Source organism: Homo sapiens, chromosome 8 (assembly GCF_000001405.40).
Source record: "Homo sapiens chromosome 8, GRCh38.p14 Primary Assembly".
Taxonomy (NCBI): Eukaryota; Metazoa; Chordata; class Mammalia; order Primates; family Hominidae; genus Homo; species Homo sapiens.
This window is the reverse complement of record NC_000008.11, coordinates 41433962-41445850: the sequence shown is the minus strand read 5'-3', so window position 1 is coordinate 41445850 and position 11889 is coordinate 41433962. Positions and strand designations below refer to the sequence as shown.

General features: G+C 45.8%; 2 long non-coding RNA genes across 2 annotated transcripts; one reads left to right on the top strand and one right to left on the bottom strand.

Moving 5' to 3' along the window:
* The first annotated feature begins 2910 nt into the window (after nt 1-2910).
* On the top strand, nt 2911-5529 carry LOC124901938 (uncharacterized). Its single transcript, XR_007060897.1, has 2 exons — nt 2911-3254; nt 5435-5529. It is a non-coding gene; the product is annotated as an uncharacterized LOC124901938 (long non-coding RNA).
* Nucleotides 5432-10389, bottom strand: LOC105379391 (uncharacterized). Its single transcript, XR_949705.2, has 3 exons — nt 10211-10389; nt 5891-6014; nt 5432-5487 (listed from the first exon to the last, which is right to left on the bottom strand). It is a non-coding gene; the product is annotated as an uncharacterized LOC105379391 (long non-coding RNA).
* Between the last annotated feature and the right edge of the window lie 1500 nt (nt 10390-11889).

Below are 11889 nucleotides of genomic sequence, written 5' to 3'. Positions count from 1 at the left end.
TTTCCTTGAATGAACATGAACACCAATATATGAGCGTTGACTTGCGGAGTACAAGGAAATTTTAGTGAGTAGGAGAATTTGCAAACATATAATCTGTGAATAATGAGGATCAACTTGACTTTTCTTCCTCCATCTTCCCTCTCCCCCACACCCCCAAGTGCTTTTGGCAAAACCAGACTTCAGGGAAGACAATCACAGAATAAATTGACAGGATTCCTTTGCTTTGGAACTTGCCTGGGAACTTAGCATTTATTTATTCATTTATTTATTTATGTACTATTTTTTGAGATGGAGTCTCACTCTGTCGCCCAGGCTGGAGTGCAGTGGTGCAATCTTGGCTCACTGCAGCCTCCACCTCATGGGTTCTAGCAATTCTGCCTCAGCCACCCAGGTAGCTGGGATTACAGGCATGTGCCACCATGCCTGGCTAATTTTTGTATTTGTAGTAGAGACGGAGTTTCACATGTTGGCCAGGCTGGTCTTGAACTCCTGACCTCAAGTGATCCTCCTGTCTCAGCCTCCCAAAGTGCTGGGATTACAGGCATGAGCCACTGCCCCTGACACTTAGCATTTATTTTAACTTTAATTTTAGGTTGATAACTAATTGAAGCCATTCTGTCTCCTCAGGTCTAGGTAAGCAATGGTACTGGTCTAGGTAAGCAATGGTACTGGTCTAGGTAAGCAATGGTACTGTCCAGCTATCGCCTTGCAAGGTATACAAAGACCTTCCAGATCTGACATGTTGTTCTCTTCATTGCCCTATCTTCCTCCATGCCCTTCCCAGTCTAGCTCCAGCCATACTGAACTCCGTGTAGTTTCCTCCTATGCATATGTGTGTTTGCATATTCTGATCTCTATGCCCAAGCTCTTTCCTGCCTGCGCTGGCTTTTCAAGTATTGCCTCCCTGTGAAGCTTTGACAGTGAGATCCCCCACTCTGTTCTTGACGTCCTAAGCATGCAAACCTATTTACCTTGTTTTATTTTATTTATTTTTTGAGACAGGGTCTCATTCTGTTACCCATGCTGGAATGCAGTGGTGTGATCTTGGCTCACTGCAGCCTTGACCTCCCCAGGCTCAAGCAGTCCTCCCACCTCAGCCTCCTGAGTAGCTGGGATTACAGGTGTGCCACTGCACCCAGCTAATTTTTTTTTGTAGTGATGGGATTTCACCATGTTGCCCAGGCTGGTCTTGAACTCCTGGGTTCAAGTGATCCACCTGCCTTGGCCTCCCAAAGTGCTAGGATTACAGGCATGAGCCATAGTGCCTGGCCTCCTACCAGGGCGTTGTCTGTTTACCTGTTTGTTTTTCCTTTAAGAATGTAAGCCCTTTGAGGGAAAGGACCCTCTCTCACCTTTGTCTACCAGTGCTTGGCAAGCAGCTTCATGAAAGGAGGGATAGAGGGGTGAAGGAGGAAGAGAGTGTTCCAAGATGTTGACACTTCTGCTCACGGTGGTTGAAAACACAGGTATAAGCTAATTAGGATTCATCAAAGGAAGAAAGCAAGGCATCTTATTTTTCTCTTTATTTATGTAACTGTGCACGAGCTTAAAAAGTTAGGTGTAATTTTCACAAAGGTTTAAAATAATTAGGAGTAATTTATTGGAAATCCTTGTGTTCAGCCAAATATGGTGTAAATTACAGACCTTTCATTTCACATTTCTATGAAATATATTTGACTGATAGTGGAGAGCAATAAAGTGGAGTCTTGATCTTGTGCCCCAGAAGTAATCACTATGTACCCATTGCAAGTCATTTCACCTTTTGGGACCTCAGTTTCTGCAGCTGAAAAATAAAAACATTAAGAGATTACACTGGAGTGAGAGTGTTCTGCTGTTTCTATCTGCCCAGCATCCTTTCTGTCTAGGATTAGGCATGGCCAGAAGAATCAGACCTGATAAATCTTTGTATTTCCTCTATCTGGCCAGAAGAATTGGTTCAGGAATGGACATATGATTAAAGTCTGAAATTCTGGAACTTTTGGCCAGGTGTGGTGGCTCACGCCTGTAATCCCAGCACTTTGGGAGGCCAAGGCAGGTGGATCACCTGAGGTCAGGGGTTTGAGACCAGCATGACCAACATGGTGAAACCCCATCTCTACTAAAAATACAAAAATTAGCCAGGTGTGGTGGCGCACACCTGTATTCCCAGCTACTTGGGAGACTGAGGCAGGAGAATCACTTGAACCCAGGAGATGGAGGTTGCAGTGAGCAGAGATCACGCCACTGCACTCCAGCCTGGGCAACAGAGTGAGACTCCATCTCAAAAACAAAAACAAACAAACAAAAAAACCCAGAAAACTTTTGTTGGAACTATTAGTTTAACATGGCAGATGAGATGCTATTAGTCTCCCTCCAAAATCCATTTTCTCCATCTCCCTTAGTAACAGAACTCTTGACTTTTAGCTGGGTTTATATCTTCCAGGAACAAAGATTACACTTCTAGCCTCCCTTACAACTAGGTGTGGGCATATGATTACATTTGACCAAGGATTTTTTTTTTCTTTTTAAGAGACGGGGGTTTTCCTTTAAGAAGTGGATAAAAGACATGAACAGACACTTCTCAAAGGAAGACATTCATGCAGCCAAAAAACATATGAAAAAAAGCTCAACATCACTGATCATTAGAGAAATGCAAATCAAAACCACAGTGAGATACCATCTCATGCCAGTCAGAATGGCAACTATTAAAAAGTCTAGAAACAACAGATGCTGGTGAAGTTGCAGAGAAATAGGAACACTTTTACACTGATGGTGGGAATGTAAATTAATTAATTTAACCATTAATTAACCATTGTGGAAAACACTGTGACAATTCCTCAAAGATCTAGAAACAGAAATACTATTTGACCAAACAATCCCATTACTGGGTATATACCCAGAGGAATATAAATCATTCTATCATAAAGATACATGCATGCGTATGTTCATTGTAGCACTATTCTCCTTCATTCTATCATAAAGATACATGCATGCGTATGTATGTTTGTGGAGGAACTACACAGTCCTGGACTGCTTACTTTGGGATTTTGTTTATGTAAGACAGAATGAACTTCTAGCTTGTTTAAACTGTTGTCACTTTGAGTTTTCTTTTACTTGGCAGCTTAACCTAATCCTGATTGATAGAGAGCTATCGGGAAGGACAACCACTGGGCTTCTGAGATGACCGGCTGGAAGCCTGAACCCGCCGGATGGTCATCTTGCCACCGCATGGGAAGGAAGGTTGCCTGAATAAAGCTGACATAGAAGGAGGCAAGGTAGGAAACAGAGACTCCCTCAGCCCCACTGACATCAAAGAAGCCACTGTATCTGGCTGTGCTTGAAGCTCACAGCTTTTAACTTTTCAGTTTATGTGTGACACTACTTTTGCCTAAATGAATTTTGTGTTAATCAGGGTCTTTGTCTTTCACAACTGAGAGTCCTATCCGATACAAAGCAGCAGAACGACTTCTCCCAACAACTTCTTACTCAGAAACCCAATCATATTCAGAAGGGGCACAAAGAGCTTCTTCAGCTCAGGCAGGGTAGGAGGATGGAGCCTGAGATCTCTCAGGAATTGCTTGTTCTCCTCACAGCACAGTCTGGAAAACACAAAACTAGACGAGTCTATGATCCTGTGGAAGAACAAGCTAATTCTGAGAGTTCATTTCAAAGCAAATGCCTGCTCCTTTTCTAGAATCACTCAAAGCCAGTTATTGCATCATTGCTACTTTTTAACATCTTTTTTTCTCCTTTGTTAGTAATGTTAATAAGGCACGTAGACACCTTAGTTGAAACAAGCCCAGCCCTCCCTTGGCTATTTCAACACATTCAGTATCCTCATCTTGAATGCTCATCTTAATCAAGATTCAGCAATCAGGTCTCTTAGTTTTAGATAATTCATTTATATTTTGACTTGTGAGGCTTGGGCTTAGGGCTAGCTAGATTCATAGGGACATTAGCTCTCCTCTAGCTAATTCTGCCATTGTTTCAATGTCTGGCATTTGGGATTTGTTCAGTTGGTTGCTCCTTGGAACCAAGTTTCATTTGCAAGGGAGGGGATCAGATTCCAAAGCTGGATCCCATTTCCATTGCTTCAGGAGAGACTCAGAATATGTCCCCAAGACCAGTTGCCTCTTCTAAGGGATCTAAGCCTCTCTGTGGAGGAAGGAGGGCATCACCTGCCTCAGCTTCCACTCTGCATGCAGCCTCTTTGGTGCTGGCCCATTTACTAACCACACTGGACTGCTCTGTCTTGGGAAAGGAAATGTATTCTCTGCCCTGATCAACAAAGGGCACCTTGGATCACCACTGATCTGCTGGAATGTTGGATGCCCTCTGAGGGTGAAATGAGCATTTTCCTCTTGATCTGAGCATTGTTGACATTTTCATTGGCAGCCCAGCCTTGAAAAGCCACATCTTGGCAAGAGAAGAGCTGAAATCTCACTCAAGCATTTGCTCTAGGCGATCACTCTGGGATCCAGGGCTGAGGCTTTCATCAGGGTCATGGAAGCACTGGGATCAAGGAACACCATTCTTTCCAGCGTCGGGGAAGACACAGCAATCATAAGCTGTTTCTTCCTCTTCCCAGGGCTTGTGTATACCATTGGGGCAGACCCAGGGAACGTTTAGAACTAGGCTCTGGTGTCAGATCAGAGGCTTGGTAGAATTTCCAGCTCCTTGTGTGAGAAAAGTGGCAGCAACATAACCATCTTAAAAGCTGCTTTGGAGTCAGGCCTAACCCAGTCAAATTTCTGTTGCTTTATCAGAAGTTGATGGTGTGAGTTTCAGCTTCAACCAGACACTCTTAAAGGGAACAGAGTTAAACCAGCATCAGTACTCCTTTCCCCAAAGGCAGAAAGATGAAGTTTGCATTTACAACAACCCTTGAGCTGTCAGGCATACAGTACCCCTTTTACTGTTTGTAAAATTCTTTGCTCAATCAATAACCACACAAGTATTTTCTGTGTGCCTGTTTTGTGCCTAGAACCGTGCTTCATATTAAGGAAGTTTTGAGAGTGAGGATGTTTCTGCCATGGGAGTGCCTGTGGTTTAGTGGAATGGGACACTCTTGTGATCTGGAATGAAGATAAGGCGTTCTCATGACCCTAGATTATAGCGGACGTGGGAAAGAGGGTAAAGGATTTGGTTGCTTGAGAGTAAAAGCAATAAAGTGAGATTCACTGTATTTCAAGGTTGGGCATGATGTGGTTTGGATGTGTGTCCCCTCCAAATCTCATGTTGAAATGTGATCCCCGATGTTGGAGGTGGGCCTAGTGAGAGGTGGTTGGTTCATGGGGGCGGATCCCTCATGTATGTATGGCTTGGTGCCATTCCCTTGGTGGAGTGAGTACTCGCTCTATTAGTTCATATCTCCTCCTCTCTTTTTTCCTTCCTCTCTTTCCATGTGATCTCTGCACATGCCGGCTCCCTCTTTGCCTCCTGCCATGACTGGAAGCTTCCTGAGGCCTCAACCAGGAGCAGATGCCAGCACCATGCTTCTTGCACAACCTGCAGAACCAGAAACCAAAATAAACTTTTCTTTATAAATTACCCAGCCTCACACATTCCTTCACAGCAATGCAAAACTGACTAACACAGGCCAGGTGCAGTGGCTTACACCTGCAGTCCTAGCACTTGGGAGGCCGAGGCGGGTGGATGACCTGAGGTAAGGAGTTCGAGACCAGCCTGGCCAACATGGCAAAACCCCGTCTCTACTAAAAATACAAAAAGTAGCTGGGCATGGTGGTGCATGCCTGTAGTCTCAGTTACTTGGGAGGCTGAAGCAGGAGAATCGCGTGAACCTGGGAGGCAGAGGTTGCAGTGAGCCGAGATTGCACCACTGCACTCTAGCTTGGGTGACAGAGTGAGATGCCGTTTCAACAAACAAACAAACAAACAAACAAAAACATACCCTTGATTTTGTCATATCTCTGAACGAAGGTTTGCCAGACCTTCTAGCAGGAATTTCAGTTTCCTGAGAACAGGGTCTTTCTTGGACTTGTTCACAGTTGTGTCTTCTGTGTCCAGTGAGATGCCTAAGTGGTAGACATTTGATAATTATCCACTACATGAGTTAATCGGAGGCTGGGTGCTGTGGCTCATGCCTCTAATCCCAGTTCTTTGGAAGGCAGAGGTGGGAGGATCGCTTGAGCCCAGGAGTTCAAGACCAGCCAGAGCAAGACAGCAAGACTCTGTTTCTACAAAAATTTTTAAAAAGTAGCCAGGCATGGTGGTGTGTACCTGTAGTCCCAGCTACTTGGGGAACTAAGGCAGGAGCATAGCTTGAGACCAGAAGTTCGAGGGTGCAGTGAGCCGTGATTGCACCAGTGCACTCCAGCCTGGGTGACTCAGAGTGACTCTGTCTCAAAAAGAAAAAAACAAGTTAATGAGAGACTGAGGTGGACACGGTACAAGGCCCCCCCATTCCCATAGACTGCCTTTGCATTTATTTCTGAATGAGTTTTGGGAAGGGGATGACCTCTTTCTGCTGTATCTCTAGGAAATAGGTGAGGGCTCCAGGGATAAGCAAAAGGTGTCCCAGCATCTTGGCATATATTTCCAGACACTCTCCCTTCAGTTGCTCATCAGAGGGGCCCTCTGAGAGCTTTCCAGAAAACTTATGAGAGAGTCAAGCATTTGCTTATCTTTGGGAGGCATACACATTCCCCTTTGCTGTCTCTGAAGGTTGTTATCTGAAAACTGTCTAGACTTTAGATTCAAGCTGGGCAAAGGAGAAGGACAATGAAATACTTCTCCACTTGGGGGTGGGGTTGGACACGATGAAATATTTCCATTGCTGACCTGTGGGGCTGACTCCCTGCACAGTCAGCTCGAGGCCCCACAGCTTGGGGCATGGGGTTTGTCAGTGTCTCAGCGCCGTCCCATCCGGGAGAGACTGTATATTGCTTGGCTTGCACAAAGAGTTTTTTTGCAATAAACTTTCCAATTTGGGTCAAGAGGGAGAAGGAAAAGCCTTTCATCTTGTCTTTTGTGTGGTATCTGTGATGGGGTTAGGGTGACTGCTCCCAACTGATTAGAGAGCATTTCAGTGGGATGGTGGGAGGTGGATTCCAGCCTTGTTTTGGATCCATGTCTAACTTTTTTTTTGTCAAGGAAAAAAAATCTCCTTTCATCCTAAAGCTCAACATGCGAGCATCCAGCCAAAAGTAGATTTTTTTGCAGTTTATTAAATATGTTGCCTCTTAGATCTTATATTAAAATCTATTTCCTTTCTGCAGGGGACAAGTTGAAACCAGAAAAGTTGCCTTGTAATTTTTCCACTTTGATTCTGCTGCTTGCAAAGGGCACCTCCAGTCCTCCAGTTGCAATAGGGAGTTGCTCCTTAGGAAGGGAGTTAACTCTTGTTTTGCCACCCATCGGGGCTGGGAGGAGCAGCTGGCCTTCCTTCATTACTGGACCCAGCCCGACCTCCCCTCACTGCACAGCTTTGACTCAGCATCAGTCAACTGAGTTAGGGGAGCATGTTGGCTGTGCAAGTTAAGCTAAATCAAACTCTTTCTTAATCTACTCCACCATCAAATAGGCATTATGATCTGCTGGTTTAGATCCAGAAGGGATTCTCCCTGCTCTGGGGTCTGCCTTGAGCTCTCCAGCCCTCAGTGTTGTCTCTTCCACCTGATTCCTGGGGCATCTGTCTTACAGCAACATGCACTTCAAGGTCCTAGAAACCTCCACTGAGAAGAGAACTCATTGTCTGCCAAGGCAGCCCATCCCAGTGCAGACCTCTCTAACTGTTAAGACGTTTTTCCTCATGTTGGGTTGGTCTGTCCTGCTCCTATGCATTGGTCTCTGCCCTGGCAGCTGGAGAAAACGAATTTAATTCAAATCAGCCTCCCATGGTGTATTACTCCGTTTTCATGCTGCTGATATACCCGAGACTGATAATTTATAAAGGAAAAGAGGTTTAGTGGACCCACAGTTCCACGTGGCTGGGGAGGCTTCACAATCATGGCGGAAGGCGAAAGGCATGTCTTCCATGGTGGCAGACAAGAGAATGGGAATCAAGTGCAAGGGTTTTCCCCTTACAAAACCATCAGATCTTATGAGACTTACTTACTACCATGAGAACAGTATGGGGGAAACCACCCCCACGATTCAATTATCTCCCATTGGGTCCCTCCCGTAACACATAAGAATTATGGGAGCTACAATTCAAGGTGAGATTTGGGTGGGGACACAGCCAAACTATATCACATGGGGAAGGGTAGAGATGCTGGTCTGAGACCCCAGGATGGGAGCTTGGGCCCAGTGTGCCCAGAGTTGGCAATTTTTCAAGAGAAGCTCAAAATTCACATTTTCAATGTGAACTCTCACTTTCTAAATGCTGGCAACTTGTTTTTAAAAATTACTGTAGAACAGCAAACAAATCACAGCTTCAGGTCAGGAACAGCCCCTTGGGTCTTCCCTTTGTGATAGAAACATGAAGATCAGGGATTGCAGGCTGAGAACTGTGTACAGTTCTGGAATCTTTGGATTTTGCTAATCTCTGTTTCCCTGGAATGGTTAGCATGCAGTTCTTAAAATGTTCATATTCATGGAGGAAGGGTAGAGAGAGAAGGGTAGAGAAAAGCTGGTGTCGAGGAGGGCAGCTTCAAGTGCTGGTGTGGGTGGAAGAGCCTAGGAGGAGAGGATGTAGGCAGAGAACCAGTGCCCCTAGCAGGGAATAAAAGAGAACACAGAGGCCAGCCTGGCTGTGGAAAAGAGAGGTCCTGAGAGTCCTGAGGTCCTCTTGAGCCTCAAGAAGATAGCAGCCTCCTGAACTTGTTGGGCTGGGCAGACAGGAGGTAACTGGGCAGGCCCTGGGGCCAGGGATGGAGAGGCAGCTCATGGGCAGGTGGTGGAGGTGGGACCAGTTGGAGGGGAGGTGAGAGCAGGCTTCTCTGAATTCAGAGCTGAAGGAGCAGCTATATTATGGGGCTTAAGAGTGTTATTTTTTGAGTGTTTTCTTGCTGATGCCTTGGCTAAGATCACGCTCTTTCTCAATCACTATTATGTGGGCACATGAGCATTTTTACCTTCTTCTCTCTTTATACCCAGCACGTACTAAGTCCTTCATGAATGTCTGATGAATGAATAAGCACATGCACGTGTACACCGTGAATGTTTTTGTGTATGAAACGTGTAGTGTTGGTGGAGGAGGAGGACTGCACATCTTCCTCAGGAACCCTGAGGTGTCAGCTGGGGCTCTCAGGACTTCAGCCTTCATGAGGGTTCACTGCCACCTCCCCCAACCCCCCATCCTGGGAGACAGTCAAGAGCTGTCAGTCTGGTTTCAGGGGCACCAGGCTTAAACCTCTAAACAAACAGGAGGAACTGTGGAATTCCTGGGCATTTGTGCGGAGAAAGTAGCCAGGTAGGAAAAAGTTACTGAAAAATTATGGAATGGATATCAATCTTGGAGACAGCAGAAAAGCATGGTGTGGGCTTACTGGCTGTGGTAAGGATGGGTGGTGTTAGACCAATCCCTGGGGGATTTTCTTAAGTCCCCAAAGGAATGGAGAAGCAAGGAGAAAAGCCTGACGGTCTCAATGGGCTGAAAGGGCTGTGATCGCTTGGAAAGGCTTGGTCTGGACTCAAAACAGTGGACAGAGGCAGGCAGCAGGGGAGAGGGCGGGAAGGACAGCCACTGTTGGGAGAGAAAGCTGGCTTGCTGCTTAGACAGCCGGCTGAGTGCCCATGGCCTATCTGCTGCAGGCTGGGCCCAAAGTCTCAGATTATGCCTAGGTCTTTTAGGAGTGGGGGAAACGCGTGTATTACTATTCGATATTATCTATCTCTTCTATCTATCTATCTATCTATCATCTATCTATCTATCTATCTATCTATCTATCTATCTATCTGTCTTCTACCTATCCATGTATTTATCTACCTATCCATTCATTTGTACACACATACATATATATTATATAAAAATAAATTACTATACTCAAAATTCAAAATGGTCATGCCTATTTGCAAATCTAAGAAATAATTTCATCACATTCCAGAAAGTGCCAAGGTGATGAGGTGTAGATTAAAAAATGTAGCATTTTCCTGTGACTTTGGGGATGCTCTTTAGATTTTTCCCAACTTCTGCCCTTCATTTTTAAATTAATTTTCCTCCTTCTGAGAAAAAGCATTCTTAAATGTGCAGTGCATTCTTAAATTGTTTTAAGGTAAAAGAAGATGGTGTGAAAAGAGAGAAAAAGGAATGTTCCCTCACAGAACTTACCTGTTTCAAAGGTATTTGAAATTCTCAAGGTTGATACTGCAATGTGGCTTCTCATTTGTGCTGTTGGAAGAAAAAAGGCTTTGGGGTCCCTGAGCCGGCCTGGCCCTGGAAGAGTCAGGGGCTCATCTTTTGTGCTGATCTTCAGTGCCTGCCTACCCAGGTACTGAGCAGGTAGCTATGGGGTGGGGGTCAGGAACTTAGGAGAAGTCTTCTTCCTCCTCCTCCTCCTCTTCCTTCTCCTCCTCCTCCAGACAGTTGGCCATGATCCTGCCAAACAAGCCAAGTCTGCTTTCCAAGAAAGGGACACGGAGCTTCCCTTGGGAGGAAGCCATGGGCCTTGCACAAAAGAATTCAGGCCACATGGGGCCGGCTGGGCAGGACCCAGCCACAGGATGTGCATCTTGGAAAAAAAAACCCCAAAGCCTCCAAGAAATATAATTTTAGCGATGTTATTTTCCAGTGATTGTAGAAATGTCATAATCATGTCTCCTCCCCAAGGCAAAAAATAGAAACCTTGACATGAAGGGAGTGATCTGAAGGCTTTTTGGACAAATTGGCACCCACTGGTCTCTCCTCTTCCGTCTTCATCTGCTCCACACATTTTGGCGTTTAATTCACTCTGCTCCAAATGATTCTCTAGTTTCATGCCTAGATGTTTTGTCTTCCCCACTAACCTGGTGTCAGCCCTTTCGTCTTTCTGGTGTCAGTTTCTTTCTGTAGACTGGCTCTGTTCTGCCCTGATCCAAGGAGAGCCCTCGTCTGTGGTGGACCTCCTGGTGTTTGAGGACCCCTGGGTGCCCCAGAAGCCCATGTGAACTCCACAGCGATGGCCAGGCTGTGTCTTGGCTCTGGGCTTCGTCCACTGGGACGGAAGCCTTCCCTGAGCCCAGCCTGGTCACCGCACCACCTCACTCCTGCCAGCTCCTTGCTGTCCCTGGATCCTCATGCTGGTCTTTTTGTGTTGACCTCCACATTACTGCCACTTGTCTGATGCAGAGAAGCACTGCGGCTTCCTAGATGCTGCTGCATGGCTCTGCCCCGCCCTTGGGGCTCCAACCCTTGCGCATCAGCTTGACTCAGATCTAACCCTAGTTGACAATGCTCAGTGGACTCTGTGATTCTGACCCTGATCCCACCTTGGCAAGGGTTGGACCTCCTATTCTGGCCAACTCTCTCCTCCATTTCTACCCCATGCCCATCCGGGTTCTTTCCTGCCCTCCTGTCATCTCTGTGTAGGCTGCATCAACCTTATTATTATTATTCCTAATGATCCTTAGCATTCTGCTGAGAATTCAGCAATGTTTATGAAATTAAACTAATGTTGCCCAAAATATGATTGTTTTTAGAGTTAGACAACAGTAGGTGTGAGGCAGAGAGACAGCCACCAGGGAATAGAAAGAAAGCTGAGCCTTGAGGCTGGTGATGTGATGAGCAGAAAAAGCCAAGCCTTCTCCTAAGGAGGGCCAGGCAGCTTGCCATCCTCTGCAACAGGCTGCGACTTATAGAGAAGGAAGACAGCTCACCTGAGCCACACTAAGTAGCAAGCGGTAACTGCTCATGTTGTGACAACCTGCAACCAAAAATCATGGGGCTTTGTAGTAGTCAGGGTCCTCTGGAGAGATAGAGGCAATAGGATGAATAGCGAGATAGAGAGATGGGTAAATAAATAGAGATATAGT